Genomic DNA, 17,608 nt, shown 5'->3' with positions numbered 1-17,608 from the left:
CATCTCCTTAGCATGACCACCGTAACCAATCTTTTAACCAACTCTCCATCTTCCAGGACTTTTATATATGCTGTTCTTTCAAGGAGAAGCTCTTCTCCCCCCTCCTATCCCAGCCTTTTACTAGCTAACTCCAAATCAGTAAGTTCTCAATTTTGATGTCACAACCTTTGGGATATTTTCCTTAATCCACTCCTAACATTAAAAAAATTTACGCTTTTATGTGCTCTCCTGTTTAACTCAGTTTACCGCTCTTATGCCATATGTAGAGAGGCCCTGTTTACTTGTCAATTCTTAACCAAAATACATGCTCTGTCTATAGAGACTGTCTTGTTCATCATTAATAAATATGAGTAACAACGGTTTGGCACCTGTCAATTATTACAAACCATATTGGTAATGCAAATATATTAGAAATTACACATATAACCTCGCCGGGCACGGTGGCTCACACCTGTAATCCCAGCACTTCGGGAGGCCGAGATGGGTAGATCACGAGGTCAGGAGATCGAGACCATCCTGGCTAATACAGTGAAACCCCGTCTCTACTAAAAAATACAAAAAAATGAGCCGGGCGTGGTGGCAGGTACCTGTAGTCCCAGCTACTCAGGAGGCTGAGGCAGGAGAATGGCATGAACCCAGGAGGCGGAGGTTGCAGTGGGCCGAGATTGCGCCACTGCACTCCAGCCTGGGCGACAGAGCAAGACTCCATCTCAAAAAAATAAAAAAAGAAATTATACATATAACCTCTCACAAATAAGGACATTATATAAATGTACCCAGTGCCTACTGAGCATACTGGCATCCAAACTCAGCAACTAGTGTTCAAACAATAATTTTTTAGTTTTAAGGGCAAAACTGAAGTTTATACTTAATCCTACAAAGAATGAGAAGTTGTAAAAACATTTTCAATTGCAGAAAATGTTAAAGGGAGGAAACGGACATAAAAAAATAAATCTAATTGAAGAGTAAATAATTTGAAAAGGGATGTAAGATATGATACCAATTTAGAGGCTGTTTTATGAATACAAAATTGACACTACAAGAGTCTGAAATAGTGACGGTAACAACTGAGAAGGAAAGGAAGGCATAACATTAAGAAGATTTGAAAAGACTTGGATGTGGAGGAAGTCTGTAGTTCAGATGGTTCAGAAATAGGGAAGACTTCTTTGAGTACACTAACTCAGTCAGGTTTCCTAGTTAATGTTCTTACAGAATTCTGTCCCTTTCCTTTATAGCATTCAACATAGTTTCAGACTCCATACATAGTTTCAATGTGGAAAATTCTCATAACAATCTGGCCCCAACTTCCCATAACTCTTTTTTTTTTTTTTTTTTTTTTTTTTTTTGAGATGGAGTCTCGCTCTGTCACCCAGGCTGGAGTGCAGTGGCCTGATTTCAGCTCACTGCAAGCTCCGCCTCCTGGGTTCACGCCATTCTCCTGCCTCAGACTCCCGAGTAGCTGGGACTACAGGTGCCCGCCACCACGCCCAGCTAATTTTTTTTGTATTTTTAGTAGAGACGGGGTTTCACCATGTTAGCCAGGATGGTCTCGATCTCCTGACCTCATGATCCGCCCATCTCAGCCTCCCAAAGCGCTGGGATTACAGGCATGAACCACTGCGCCCGGCCAACTTCCCATTAACTCTTATTACTCTCTTACACAGATATCCACATGTGGATCTAGTAGCTGTTCCGCAAACATACCTCAATGTTTTCTCTCCTCATTACCTTTGCTCATGCTGTTACCCTTGCTTCAAAGAATATCCCAGTAATCACCTTTTTTAATTTTCTTTTTTTAAAGACAGGGTCTCACTCTGTCACCCAGGTTGGAATGCAGTAGCATGATCATGGCTCACTGCAGCCTTGACCTCCCAGGCTCAAGCAGCCCTCCCACCTCAGCCTCCCAAGTAGCTGGGACTACAGATTGACGTCACTCCCCATGGCTAATTTCTGTTTTTTGTAGAGTTGGCCAGGCTGGTCTCAAACTCCAGGGCTCAAGTGTTCCGCCCCACGTCAGCCTCCCAAAGTGCTGGGATTACAGGTGTGAGCCACTGTGCCTGGCCACCAACTTCCAAAACTCTTCTAAGGCCCAGTCTGAAATAAGCTTAGCCAGAAGTGACCTCTTCCTCTTATGAATACATTGTTAACTACTTAGATTTACATGGTTATTTGTTTTGTTGGTACTGCTTTCTATTATCGTTTATTATTTTTCTCCTCAAAAGAATGAAGCTGGCCAGGCGCAGTGGCTCACGCCTGTAATCCCAGCACTTTGGGAGGCCGAGGCAGGTGGATCACAAGGTCAGGAGTTCAAGACCAGCCTGGCCAACATGGTGAAACCCCGTCTCTACTAAAAATACAAAAAATTAGCCAGGCATGGTGGCATGCACCTGTAATCCCAGCTACTCAGGAGGCTGAAGCAGAGAATTGCTTAAACCTGGGCGACAGAGTGAGACTCTGTCAAAAAAAAAAAAAAAAAGAATGAAGCAAACTCCCTGGGGTTAGCCACTCCATGGAGGGAAGGGAGGTAGGGGCGGGGGGGCGGGGGTGAAAAGAAGGTCATTAATTCCAAGAACAAACAACAGCAGAAGAGAAAGCACCAGCAACTCAATGAAAATAAGCCTCAATGTCCACTCCCTCTCCCAAAGGATTCTGCCACTGGGTTCTACAAACCCCTACAATTGTCCTCCCACCTAATTCCCATTCTACTTATGAGCAGTAATATCTCTAGAAAAGTGCTGTTCAAAGGAAATACAATGTAAGCTGCAAATATTGAGACACACACGTAATTTTAAATGTGCTACTAGCCACATTTTAAAAAGTAAAAAGGCCAGGCACAGTGGCTCATGCCTGTAATCCCAACGCTTTCAGAGGCTGAGGTAGGACAATCACTTGAGCCCAGGAGTTCAAGACCAGCCTGGCCAACATAGTGAGGCCACATCTCTATTTCAAAAAATTACAAGTAGGTGAAATTAATTTTAATGATATATATTTACTTAATCCAATAAACAAAATATTATTTCAACATGCAATCAATATCAATCATTAATGAGATATTTTCCATTCTTTTTTTCATACTATGTCTTCGAAATCCAGTATGTTTTACACTTACAGCAAATCTTAATTAGGACTAACCATATTTCAAGTTCTCAATACCCACACAGAACTAGTGGCCATAGTACTGGACAGTCCATCTTCTAGGTCATCCTGTCATTCACTGAAGTAAAGTTTTAGTACCTGCCTTGGCCATTCAGGCTCCAACTTAACTCCTCATCATTACTTTCCACCCTCAGCTACCCACTTCCGAGGCCACATCTTAGACATTTCCAGCAGAACCTGCACCACCCTCAAAATCACTAACTCGAACATTTCATTTTCCAACTACAACCTCCTTTTCTTACTTGCTTCATTTCAAGAATTCAATTCACAAAGATCTCTAATTCATTGATGTTGTCATGCCCTATCCATTAGCCCCTAAACATTTCTTTGCAAAATTCCATTGTCCCTCCATGCCTGGCACATTCAACTAGTTCCCACTTTGTAGGAGAAAAGAATGCATGCACTCATGCAGATGGATGTTATTTTACATCCACAGTCGTCAATCTCAATGGGCACAGGCATCTCACTAAACTTTCCAGTGAGCCAGCAATCAAACTTCCTACAATAACTCTTTCATATCTTTTCCTTGCTCCTCCCACATCTCCTTCCTCCAAAAACTACCTTTAGGAAGCATATATACAACAAATGACTATTAAACTTTAACAATGCATTTAACATTGTTAATTCATATTCCAGAAAACATTTCCCAAAATAAAGTTCTTCCTAATTATTAAAACATCTGCTCTCTATAAAAATTCAAATATGGAAAGGTACAAGAGAACCAAACTATTTTTCATATAGTTACAGGAGTACTAGAATGTAATTTCTTTTTTTTTTTTTTTTTTTGAGACGGAGTCTTGCTCTGTCACCCAGGCTGGAGTGCAGTGGCACAATGTCGGCTCACTGCAAGCTCCGCCTCCCAGGTTCACACCATTCTCCTGCCTCAGCCTCCCAAGTAGCTGGGACTACAGGCTCCCGCGCCACCACGCCCGGCTAATTTTTTGTATTTTTAGTAGAGACGCGGTTTCACCGTGTTAGCCGGGATGGTCTCGATCTCCTGACCTTGTCATCCGCCCGCCTCAGCCTCCCAAAGTGCTGGGATTACAGGCATGAGCCACCGTGCCCAGCCTAGAATGTAATTTCACAAAAGCAAAAACTCTATTTCATTCCCAAATGATGTGTGAGCATTTAACACAGCTGATTTGGCATATAAATCAGCACTCATTTTTATTGATAGAATGACTGGATAAGAACCTTGCTTTAAGTAAATGTGATACCAAAGGTCAAACGGGCAAAAGGAAGGAGGAGGGGAGCGTAAGGGAGAATGCTTGTTTGCAAGATTTAGCAGAGAATACCTATAGCCACAAAGAATACTTATTATAAGCCCAGTAAAGGAATAACTATTTTTATGTTTTACTAAGAGTTTTTTAAATGTATCCAAAAAAATAATGGACAAGGCCGGGTGCGGTGGCTCACGCCTGTAATCCCAGCACTTTGGGAGGCTGAGGTGGGCGGATCACGACGTCTGGAGTTCGAGACCAGCCTGGCCAACATGGTGAAACCCCGTCTCTACTAAAAATACAAAAATTAGCTGGGCACGGTGGTGCGCACCTGTAATCCCAGCTACTGGGGCAGCTGAGCCAGGAGAATGGCTTGAACCCAGGAGGTGGAGGTTGCAGTGAGCCAATATTGTGCCACTGCACTCCAGCCTGGGTGACAGAGCAAGACTCCACCTCAAAAAAAAAAAAAAAAAAAAGGACAAAAACATTTAAGGTGTAACACAGACTTTAATGGTCTTGCCAAAAAGCTGGACTTTTCTCATAACTCTGACGATTCAACTTCTTCGTGGATGAGAGCATTGACACATAAGCCTGAGCACTTTTCAAGACTTAACCCAGGGCAGGGGCGGTGGCTCATGCCTGTAATCCCAGCACTTTGGGAGGCTGAGGTGGGTGGAACACCTGAGGTCATGAGTTCGAGACCAGCCTGGCCAACAGGGCAAAATCCCTTCTCTACTAAAAATACAAAAATTGGCCAAGCATGGTGGCAGACACCCGTAATCCCAGCTACTCGGGAGGCTGAGGGTGGAGAATCACTTGAACCCAGGAGGCAGAGGTTGCAGTGAGCCGAGATAGCGCCATTGTACTCCAACCTGGGTGACAGGAGTGCAAACTCAGTCTCAAAAAAAAAGACTTAACCCCGGGTAAATCACTGTGGTAATTAACTTAAGTCCCTTCTTCCACAAACATCACCAGATGTACTTACTGAAATCTATGAGCACATATATTGGCCATGCTCTGTCCTTCAGGCTGGAGTACAGTGGCGCCATCACAGCTCACTACAGCCTCAACCTCCTGGCTCAAGCGATCCTCCCACCTCAGCCTCCCAAGTAGCTGGGCCACAGGCACATGCCTCAGCCAGCTACTTTTTGTATTTTTTTGTAGACACAGGTTTTTGTCATATCGCCCAGGCTGGTCTCAAACTCCTGCACTCAAGCAATCTGCACACTTCAGCCTCCCAAAGTGCTGGGACTACAGATGTGAACCACCACGTTCACCCTATACATATTTTCAGGTCTCCAAAACTTTCCTCTCCACCTTCTCCTACGGAATCCTCCTCTTTGAAGAATGCTACAGTAAATTTGGAAATTTACAAGACTATGATATAAAATATTAGATGCAATGGTTTTAAGACAACATTACAAATAATAATATACAAAACTACTGTTTCACTCCTAGTTTTCACCTTTAAAATACACTATTGATACAAGTTACCTAGAAGAAATGGGGAAGAGAGGATGAGGGTGCACAAAGGAAGGCCTCAAGGTTTTAGAATGCTCTATTTATTAGGCTTGATGTTTGTTTTACTACCTTTCTATAAGTTACACATTTTTCTATAAGGTTATACATACTACGCTGTATATAATTTAATTTTTTTTAAAAAAGCAACCTAGCTTTCTCTTAGAAAATAACACGATTTCTACTACCACTCAATATAAATCTTAATTCAACATAGGCATCTATTTAAGAATCATTATTATATATTAATATAGTTTGTATTATAAGCTTCACAGAAAGTTTACAATGACCTCCAGTTAAATATGAATTCACCATATACAAATGTCTGCCATATTCCCCCCATAAAGAGAAACAAAATGACAGTGAGGGAAGAAAAAAAGAAAAATCTTTAATCCACAAGGACAAAAAGAAAAAAAAATAACCAACTAGAAATTTCAACAAACTTTTTGATGATGAAAAGCAGGCAATGCAGTGGTAACTAAATCAGAAGAGGAAGCTACAACCTACAAATGCCTAGAGAGGGGAATACTAAAGAAAGGCAAGCATATCTAAAAACACAGGGGGCAAGGTACAAGGGGGCTGTTAGAAAATCTGAACATACAGGATGGTTACACCCTCAGGTCTCCTCTAACTAAATATCCATGAGACAACTTCCCTACCATGCCCACTAGCCTCTCGTAACACAAGAGGCCAGAGGATTACTGGAACAACTGAACCAGAGAGGCTCCAGACTCAGACCAGCATGGAACTAAGATCAAGGGTGAGGCACAAATCTAAAAGTGGAGATTAAGCAAAGTCTGCATACTCATAAGTGGGACACCTTTATCCTGCCTTGTTCCCCAAACATTATCAGCCAGGTAAGTAGCCTCAACAAGAGATTATAGAATTCCTCTCGGGAAAAAATGGACAGACCAGACCTACTCACACTTAGAAGACCATTAATCTCATTCCTGGGACTATCTAAATTCAGAGGTGAAGACTAATGGCAATTCTAAAATTCATGTTCTTTTCCCTGATTATGATTCAATTAGACACAAAATACTATACTTTTTTTTTAAAGGTCTTTAACCTTTAAGATGCTACCTGATTTTGAAATCACATATTAGAATAACTTCTGGGACAAAAATATTCCTTTTCCAGTCTTACTTTGACACCCTGGGGAAAGATGTTTAAGGAACAGAGGCTGAAGTTTTTCACACACCACTCTAAAGAAATGCAGAAAGAAACTGAAAAGCATTCAGAGTCTTACAATTTCTAGGTCCTGTTTCAAGTTTATCCCACAAAAGGGAAAGGAAAAAAACAAAATAGGTAGAATGCAAATCAATCATATATATTTGGTAAGAGCTAAGCTCTGCTGGAGAGGAAGTTCTTGGCTAATATTAAGTTAGGGAATTTTTCATTTATTCATATGATTCTTATATTTTACTACAGAAAAAGCAATCAGGCCAGGCATGGTGGCTCACACCTGTAATCCCAGCACTTTGGGAGGCTGAGGCAGGTGGATGATCTGAGGTCAGCAGTTCAAGACCAGCCTGGCCAACATGGTGAAAGCCCATCTCTACTAAAAACACAAATATTAGCTGGGCACAGTGGTGCGCATCCTACTCGGGAGGCTGAAGCAGAAGAATTGCTTGAATCCAGGAGGCGGAGGTTGTGGTGAGCCGAGATCATGTCACTGCACTCCAACCTGGGCAACAGAGCGAGACTCTGTCTCAAAAAAAAGAAAAAAGAAAAAACATAACCTTGAAAAAATTAAGTTATATATTTCCCACACCATTACTGATTACAAGTACTTCAAGCCAGGTGCAGTGGCTCAACACCTTGAATTCCAACACTTTTAGGAGGCTGAGGCATGAGGATCACATGAGTCTGAGAGCAGCCTGGGCAACACAGCAAGACCCTATCTCCAAAAAAAAAAAAAAAAAAAAAAAAAAAAGCTTTTAGTCAGCTGAGCATGGTGGCAAGCACCTGAAGTCCTAGCTACTCAGGAGGCTGAGGTGGAAGGATCATTTGAGCCCAGGAGTTCGAAGCTGCAGTGAGCCATGATCATACCACTGCACTCCAGCCTGGGCAAGAGAGGGAGACCCTGTCTCCAAAAAAAAAAAAAAAAAAAAAGTACTTCAAGCACATTCGTTCAGTGCAATGCAAGCTACTACCGTTTAGCATTACTTACAGAGATGCAGGATTTAATTAAATAACTCTGCTTAGCAAACTGCCTTGTAAGAGATCACTAGAAATAAATTTTTTCTTTTTTTTTTTTTTTCTCGAGACAGGGTCTCACTCTGTCACCCAGTTGGAGTGCAGTGGATCTCAGTTCACTGCTACCTCTGTCTCCCAGGATCAAAAAATCCTACCACTTCAGCCTCCCAAGCAGCTGGAACCACAGGTGCGCATCAACATGCCCAGCTAATTTTTTGTATTTTTGGTAGAGATGTGGTTTTGCCATGTTGTCCAGGCTGGTCTGGAACCCCTGAGCTTAAGCACTCTGCCTGCCTAGGTCTCCCCCAAAGCACTGGAATTACAGGTGTGAGCCACTGCCCCCAGCCTTATTTTTCCTTTTAAGTTATAAAAAATACCATGAGTGGGAAGGTGAAAGGGATCGTCCCATTTTAAATTAGGCACTGCTGTACTGTAAATTTTAAATTTTAAAAAAGATCAAGTTTTCAAAGTTTTTGCTCTTGGGACTCTTGAAAGTGGAGGACCATCCCCCCCGCAAAAAAACTTTATGTCGATTAAATCTATCAATATTTACTGTATTTGCAGTTAAAGCAGAAAACTTTAAAAGATTTGTCATTTAAAAAAAAATAATAGCTGGGCATGGTGTCTCACGCCGTAATCCTAACACTTTGGGAGGCCGAGGCAGGCGATCACTGGAGCCCCCGACTTCGAGACCAGCCTGGGCGACATGGCAAAGCCCATCTCAAAAAACAAATTAATTAATTAATCCATTACTTGTTAACATAAATCTCATATTTAAAAAATATTTTTAATAAAAATTAGAAGACTATCATGGTTTTACATTTTTGCAAATCTCTTTAACATCTAGCTTAATAAAGACATCTTGATTCTCACATCTACTTTTCCATTCAATCTGTGTATTAGATTGTTTTGGATGAAGAATATAAAGGAAATCTAGCCTTATGAAGCTCTATAGAGTTGGGAAAAAATAGAGTATTTTTATTAAAATGCTCTAGCCTTTTCAGATAACTTTCGATATTCTTTGATCCTTCACCAAAACACAACAAATGGCAGGTTCTTAAAGGCTGCTGCAACGCAGGAATCTGAAACCGTATCAATGAATATTTCCCACTCTGATAAACTGAAATTCATTGGTCTATCTTCCATTTCCAATGGATCTTTTTATCCAGGCATGATTTTGTAATATCATGCATTGGTTATTTGGAAAATATTAGTTCACTGAGTTATGCAGTTCTTCCAAATGTTGACATATTTCACTATGCAACTTCAACATAACACATTCATTAATATCACACTGATCTTATCAAAAAAGTCAAGTATTGGGAAACTGTCAAGCTCACAGTGGCAAATACATGTCTTCCAAAGTTCTATTTTCATTTGAAAGCTTAAATTTTATCATTAGTAACAAATATTGTCAGTTGTTTTCCCTGTAGTGACAGGCACACTTTGTTTATTTTCATGAAAATGTATGCCAAATACCCTAGTCTGTATAACCATACTTTGCCAGCCATTTTTTCAAGTAAAAATGGTATTCCATTTAAAAAGCTCACAACTCAACTGCACAAGTTCTTTTCCTTGAGTTAACCATCAGATTTGATATTCAATAAAAGTGTTTTACAGGTACTTTTCATTTCATCATACAAAATATATTTTTAAATGTACTCAAGGATTGAGATACAATAAAATTAGTAAGTTTTATTGCTTCATCAAGGACATAAAGTTTAACTGGCATTTTTTTTTTTAATTCCAAGTGCACAGTGATGAAGAACACAACTACTAGTACAATTTAGTACCAATGCCTTAATTTGTGCCAAGGTGCTGGCAGTTTTACCCACCACTGATTTTGCAAATGTCAGCACGTAAATAATGCCTATTATTAGGAAAATCATTTTGACCTGGAGAACCCTCAGAAAAACTTCGGGGAACCACCAGAGGCCTGAGAAATAGACTTTGAAAACCTCTGTAAGAACTGATGCATTACTTGTATAATTTTTAAAAAGATAATTTTTAGTAAACATTCCGCTATAACAGAAATATTTAAATAAATATACACACATATGTGATAATATATTAAAATCACCAATAACCTGGTACCTCATACACAGCAGATACCCAAAAATATAATAAATAACAGAATGTGATAAATAATTCTTTAATAAATAACAATTACTGAGAATCTACTATAAGCCAGTTTCTGAGCCAGTTCTGTGCCTCTTCAGTCCCCTTCTTGGGTAACTTACAGAAGCCCATAGACCAGAATGATGATTTTAACATATGAGAAAAAATATTTACTCTGAAATCTTTCCAATCTTTAAGATTAGACTTGCATGACTGCAAGAAAAAGTCTTAAAATTCACCATAAAGCACAAGATAGCATGTTAAGTTCTATTTTAAGCACTATGCCATGAGCTTTTTTAAAAACAGGCTTGCTCACATTCAGAAACCCAAATACAAAATGAATTGCTTTGGCTGAGCACTGCCAGAACTGCATAAAGACCCTGCATTCCATTTCTCCTCAAGCTATACAACCCTTACCTGTGATGTTTTCATTCCTATTGTTAAGTGAAACTCCAGCATTAATACTACAGAGGTTACATTAAATGTGGCAATTATTTTTTTAAAAAAACCAGTAGTGTATAGCAAAACCATCAAAACAAGTTGTTAAGAACTTTTAACCATATACACTGATAAATTCAAGAGGTAAATCTCTATAAACATACATAGGAAATATTACACACTGTTAAAAAGAATGAGACCATCTCATTGTCTGGACATGTCATGGAAAGATCTTCACTATCTATTGTAAAAAAAAGCAAACTGTAGGATGCTACATATGGTATGGTCTCACAGTTTTAGAAAAGATATTTATGTACATGTACATTCACTTAAGTTCCTTCTATGTGCCTAGTTTTGTTCTCATCTAGACATACACACACACAATAAATTAAAAATATTATACAGACATACACATTTAAATGCCCATGCAGAGAAAAAAATGAATACAAGACCAGACACAAAAAGTGACATATTTTTATTCCATTTATATTAAATGCCCAAAATAGGCAAGTCTACAGAGACTCAAAATAGATTATCAGTCGCCTAGGGCTAAGAGTGAGGTAAGGTTTGGGAAGGGGATGATGCTAAAAGGATGTAGGGTTGCTTTTCGAGGTGAAAAAATATTCTAGAACTGATTGTGGTTAATGGTTACACAACTTTGTGAATATACCAAAAACTACCTGACTGTGCACTTTAACGAGGTGAACTGTAATGGGATATGTTAATTTTATCTCAATAAAGCTGTCACCTCCCCCTGCCCACCCAAATAAGAATACACAGATATACACCAAAATGATTCCCTCTAAGAATGAAGATGATGAGGTCTTTCCATTTTTACCCTATTTACTGTTAGATCATTACAATGAGAAGTGTAGTCACTTATTATCTCTATAACTTAAAATAATGTAAAAGGTAAATCTAAAACAGCCCTTGATAAATTATTCTGGATTTAATGTTATTCAAGTTCATCTAAGCAGCAGCAAGAAAAAAGAGCGAAGATATGACCCTAAAAATATTTTCAATTTAGATTGTCTTATAGACAAGAGTATCAGGCCCCAGTCTCTGACAGAAACAAATCTTAAACATAATTTGTTCATCTGACACATGTATATTAAAAACACCTATTGTGTCCACAGGGTAGGGATGGGAGAATGGGGGGTGTACAAACAGAACACCAGCCAACAAAAAGACGCAAACTAACAGCTCTGGCTTTAAGTTAAGGGCTTTTGCTATACAGCTGAAGAGACAAAACACACACACAAAGTGGAATGGGGCCAGACAATAGAAAATCTTGAATACTAGACTGAGAACTAAGTCTTTATCCAGTTTTCGATAGAAAGCCATTCAAAGTTTTTATAGATAGGAGTGACAGAATGAAAGGAGTGTTTTGGTGAAATTAACCCGGCAACCAAAGCGGGTAAACTGAAAGCAGTGAATAGCAAAAAAGGTAAAAAAGAGATTAAGTTTTCAAAAATAGGAACGTTTACAACAGTCCTATGAGAGTTACTGATATCTCCATCATTAGTTAATATTCAAAGGATTTATGTTTGTTTTGTTTGCTTGATCTAAAGAAAAGCTGAAAAATAAAAAGGTGGTTTCTTCATTTTGACGAATTTTAGAAGTTCATAGCTAAGAATGAAGACTTACCAGAAAACTCTGAAGGAAGGGTTCTAGGGAATTTTCTTTTCATGTGACACTACTGAAACCAAGAGTAGAGGGAATCAAAAGTAACAGGAGTTGCACAATTTTTAACATGGAAGGGGAAATATAGTCATAAACATCTAGCAAAAAGTGCAGTGGCAATTAATACTACTTCTGAAATTGATGGTTAAAGACAACTAAGTACTTTAAAATTGTCTCTACTGCCTATTTCAAAGAAATCCTAATGATAAAACGTTACATAAATACAGATTTAGGTGAAGACCAAAGTCGAACGAATCAAATTTAGAGTACGATCAATTTCAAGTTCCTTCTACATGCACTACTTTTCAGATGTTGCACAAATAGCATTCTTAATTCACATATGCATTTATTAATTGGTTTAACTCATAAAGGTTTTTTCTAAAAATAAAAATGCTTTCATTGCCTATGTTATCTTTCTAAAACCAGATCCTGGGCCAGGCACGGTGGCTCACGCCTACAATCCCAGAACTTTGGGAGGCCAAGGCGGGCAGATTACGAGGTCAAGAGATAGAGACCAACCTGGCCAACATGGTGAAACCCTGTCTCTACTAAAAATACAAAAATTAGCTGGGCGCAGTGGCGCATGCCTGTAATCCCAGCTACTCGGGAGGCTGAGGCAGGAGAATTGCCTGAACCCCGGAGGCAGAGATTGTGGATCCTTGAAACTATGTTACCTCCCAATTTAAATGGCAACACTTTGTTTTGAGATTAAAAATATGGTAAAGTCTTATTTCCATTTTCTCTATATTAATGTTCAGTATAGTGTTTGTTTTTTGGGGGATTTTTTGTTTGTTTGTTTTTGAGACGGAGTCTCACTCTGTCGCCCAGCCTGGAGTACAGTGGCACGGTCTCAGCTCTCTGTAACCTCCGCCTCCCAGGTTCAAGCAATTCTCCTGCCTCAGCCTCCTGAGTAGCTGAGATTACAGGTGCGCACCACCACGCCCGGCTAATTTTTGTATTTTTAGTAGAGATAGGGTTTCACCATGTTGGTCAGGCTGGTCTCGAACTCCTGACCTCGTGATCTGTCCACCTTGGCTCCCAAAGTGCTGGGATTACCACGTCTGGCAATGTTCAATATAGTTTTAAAATGCCAGTTAAAAACTGATAAGCATCAGCTGGGCGTGGTGGCTCACACCTGTAATCCCAGCAAAACAAAAAAAACTGATAAGCATCTAAATAAGGTACAAAAACTTGCAATATGTGGTCACTGTGATATAATTTCCAAAATCAAACATACTTGCCTACTTGAAATTCTACTATTCATAGAATAGTATGAATAGATTATAAAATACTACTTCATAATCGATTTCATACTTTATCAAACATTCTGATGCTGAAGTAATGTTTGCTTACATTTTGTAAAACCTGTATCTGCCATCATTTAATAATCTTATCTCACATATTACAGAAACATAAACAATAAAGGTATGACAATGAACAAACCAAGAATGACTAATTTATTTCACTGACAACATTTTAGCTAATTTTGTAGAGTGGGTGCAGTGGCACAGTACCTCACACCTGTAAAAACCGAGCACAGAGGCACAGTGTCTCACACCTGTAATCCCAACACTTTGGGAAACCGAGGCAGCACTGTTTGAGGCCAGGAATTTGAGACCAGCCTGGGCAACACAGTGAGACCCCTGACTCTACAAAAATAAAATAAACATTTGTATTGCTTTCTTTTTTTTTTTTTTTTTTTTTGTTTGAGACGGAATCTCACACTGTAGCCCAGGCTGGAGTCCGGTGGCGCAATCTCGCTGCAACCTCTGCCTCCCAGGTTCAAGCGATTCTCCTGCCTCAGCCTCCTGAGTAGCTGAGATTACAGGCGCCCACCACCACGCCCAGCTAATTTTTTGTATTTTTAGTAGAGACGGGGTTTCACTATCTTGGTCAGGCTGGTCTTCAACTCCTGACCTCGTGATCCGCCCACCTCAGCCTCCCAAGGTGCTGGTATTACAGGTGTGAGCCATGGCATCCGGTCCTGCATTGCTTTCTAAAGCACAAAAAAGATCTGTCATATCAATATATTTAGTTAAAATAAAACATCTGCAAACTTTGGTACATGTCTGCAAACACACTGCAAAAAAAGGAGAATAATCTGGGCCTGGCGCGGTGGTGGCTCACGCCTGTAATCTCAGCACTTTGGGAGGCCGAGACGGGCAAATCACAAGGTCAGGAGATCGAGACCATCCTGACCAACACGGTGAAACGCCGTCTCTACTAAAAACGTACAAAAAAATTAGCGGGGCGTAGTGGCGGGCACCTGTAGTCCCAGCTACACCGAAGGCTGAGGCAGGAGAATGGTGTTAACCCGGGAGGCGGAGCTTGCAGTGCGCCGAGATCGCGCCACTGCACTACTGCCTGGGCAACAGAGGAAGACTCCGTCTCAAAAAAAAAAAAAAAAAAAAAAGTAGAATAATCTGACAGGGACTAGTTTAATAAAACACAATGTAAGGTTTCAAATGATCATATAGACCTGTATTTACTAACCTGGATAGACATGAAAATAGCAGATTATAAATAAAAAACAGTGTTGTATCTTTTTATGATGAATATACATATACATATGCTCACAGAGAGAAAGTCTTAAGTGGATAAATACCCAGATGTTAACCATGATATCTCTGAGTGTTGGGATTACAGGTACTGTTTATTTTTCTGCTTACTTCTCAGATTCTCTGAAATTTTCTCAAGCAAAATGATACTTACAAAAATTAATGTGTATGATTCCAACTAACAAACTCCAAACTTTTTGCAAGGAAGCTTGCAAAATGCCCTAGAATATCCAAAAATACCCTAGCATAGAGCTTTTCCAAAAGGGAAAGTATCAGCAACAACATAAGTAGAAATCTGTGAACTGGGCACCCTAGAGGACTCCAGGTCTGCTGTAGGACCTTTAAGGAGGACTACACAAGACCTAGGCTCAAGTCCCTGCCACTTTTATTTGTATGACCTTGCAATAGTCACGTACCCTTTCTGGGCTCACTTTCTCTATCTATAAAAAGGATTTAGTTATTACTTGCCTTTCCTACCTCAAAGAACTGTTGGAAAGATCAAAAGAGATAATGCAATATATTATGAACTGCAAAGTACTATATAAGTAAGATATTATTATTCAAACATTAAAAAAGCAAGATGCTTCATGCCAGAGTCAAACACTTCAGAAAACACCACAATCAATTCTATGAAGTAATGAATCCGTTTTTGGTTGTTGTTTTGAAAGGCTACATCTCATCATAAACACCCAGTTTTTCTGAGACTTGGATACTTTTTCCCAGTTCCCGCTACAACCATTGGCCATTTTATTTTCTTATCCCTGGTTACCAGCAAAAAAGGGTACAAATTACACTAAACTCAAAAGCCTCAGCAAGAACCCTGGAGCAGCATGCTGATGGAGTTCACCAGGAGACACCCAAGGTTAATCAGCTATGGACTCGCCACTAAGCACTACCGCAATCAACAGGGATTACAAGAAACTCTTTGAAGAAAAAGACAATGGGATCGCCCAGGAGAAAACGGTGGATGAAAAGAAGGAGGTATTTCAAAACAATCATATGAAATACTTAGAAACTATACGTAGTATTTTATAAACTATACTGTAGAGTTTTTAAAATACTGTTGATAAAAATAATGACATAAAACAAAAGCCATCTAAATGTGGCACTTGACAAAAGCAAGTTATAGAGATTCAAATCAAATCCATGAATAAACTATCAGATGTACTTGACTCTATCTGAAATAAAAGCAGACAAATTACAGCGTAAGGATCAAAATTAAGTAGCTATTTCTTGAAAATAAAGAGGCAGAAAATAACAATAGAATTCACTGACACACTCATAGTAACTTTTATAATTATGGTTTCTCTTCCCATTTAATTTCATTATTTACTCCACTAAAATGCTGATGGACTTCTTCTCTCCCACTCTTCTTCCTGTAAATTAAAATGGCACTATAACTTGGTTTGAGTTTTACTCCAAAAAAACACATATTTTTTTTTAAATTACTTTAAGAGGAGTTTCATGAAGCTGTCAGCTTATTAACTACCAAGATCATCTGGCCATCACACCCTCCTGCTTCTAAGTTCCTAAAGATGACAAAATACCCTCCACATTCTTAAAAATGACATTTATGGGTACTCCCCTAATGAAAAATTAAACCTTTCATAAACAAATGTGCATAGAGAATTCATTTTGATATGTATGACTCACAATCTAATTTTTATTGGCAATATCTTGAAGTGTTGCAGCTTGCACAATTCCTACAGGGGATAAAGATCTATCTGTTTTTCCCATCTGATCTTTGCACATTTCTTATAGATTTAAAAGGACTCACTAAAAAAGCCATGAGGAAAATAATTATGAATACAATCCACAGCAAAATGAAGTATGGGGCTGAAACCTAAAATAATGAAAAGTCACTGAGTTTTATGTAAAGCTTCACAGTTGAAGTACTCTATTCCCATTTAAAATTTCAAAAAATCTAGATTTTTTTCTTCTTACTCTGATTTTTCCTATCATATTAGGAATGTATGATATTTACCTCCAAAAAATCACAAACAAAAAGCCTTCAGAAAATATCATTTCCAAAAGGAGTATCTGCCAAACCTTACTGCACAGAAAATTATATATACACATTCTCTTTTTTTTAACACATTCTCAAATAACTATGGTAGGCGTTCCTGAGATCACCTCCTCCACCCCTCAAAAAAAGAACAGCAAATCTAACCACAATAAAGTATTAACCAAATTTTTTTAACGCCGCTATCACCAGCTAAGCAATTTATCACACAGCTCCTCAAAGTCTCAGACACACACAATGACATACCAACATGTCAAAACAGTTATTATAATTTGAAAAATTATACAACAGGAACATAAGAGTAGAAAAAAAAAACTTCCTCTGGAAAAACTCTAGTAGATTTGGGAGAGCACAAAAAACGAGATTAATTTTAGAAAAATAACATTTCTTCAAGTGTTTGGTGTTTATCTGATACTGGTTCATTTTCGTAAAGAGAAACTTTACCTAACAAGACTCACACCAGGGATCTGATCTATCCCCAAAGGCACTTTCTTAAAATGAGAAAGAACAAAGAAGGAAATCTCTCAGCATGTGCTTTCCATACTAGTTTCTTTGGACAGCATCAAGAGTGACAATATAGTCTGCACATGCTTTTCAGCTTTATTCTATGGTCCATGTATAACAACTGATTAGCTATCATTCAAAAGAACTCCTAACAAAATAAATATTACAAGGCAAAGATCACAGCAACATAG

The 17,608-nt window shown here is 38.9% G+C and overlaps 1 protein-coding gene across 6 annotated transcripts in view, besides 1 other annotated feature; it reads right to left on the bottom strand.

The window, feature by feature from the left end:
• Nucleotides 1-17,608, bottom strand: part of PIAS1 (protein inhibitor of activated STAT 1) — a 139,533-nt gene that overhangs the window by 120,102 nt on the left and 1,823 nt on the right. The window contains exon 3 of one of the 6 annotated variants that reach the window (XM_011522126.3): nucleotides 16,166-16,266. The exons of the other annotated variants lie outside the window; for them this stretch is intronic. Within the exon in view, the coding sequence (XP_011520428.1) occupies nucleotides 16,166-16,216 (51 nt within the window). The 5' untranslated portion in view covers nucleotides 16,217-16,266. The remainder of the gene's footprint in view (nucleotides 1-16,165; nucleotides 16,267-17,608) is intronic. 6 annotated transcript variants of the gene reach the window in all.
• Nucleotides 3,595-4,095: an enhancer, noted in NCBI's record as "H3K4me1 hESC enhancer chr15:68361989-68362489 (GRCh37/hg19 assembly coordinates)". NCBI's record gives its function as "activates a minimal SCP1, AML or CMV promoter by ChIP-STARR-seq in primed H9 embryonic stem cells {active_cell/tissue: H9 hESC(primed)}" and the evidence as "EXISTENCE:reporter gene assay evidence [ECO:0000049][PMID:30033119]".

Source organism: Homo sapiens, chromosome 15 (assembly GCF_000001405.40).
Source record: "Homo sapiens chromosome 15, GRCh38.p14 Primary Assembly".
Lineage (NCBI taxonomy): Eukaryota > Metazoa > Chordata > Mammalia > Primates > Hominidae > Homo > Homo sapiens.
This window is presented reverse-complemented; position numbering and strand designations above follow the sequence as displayed.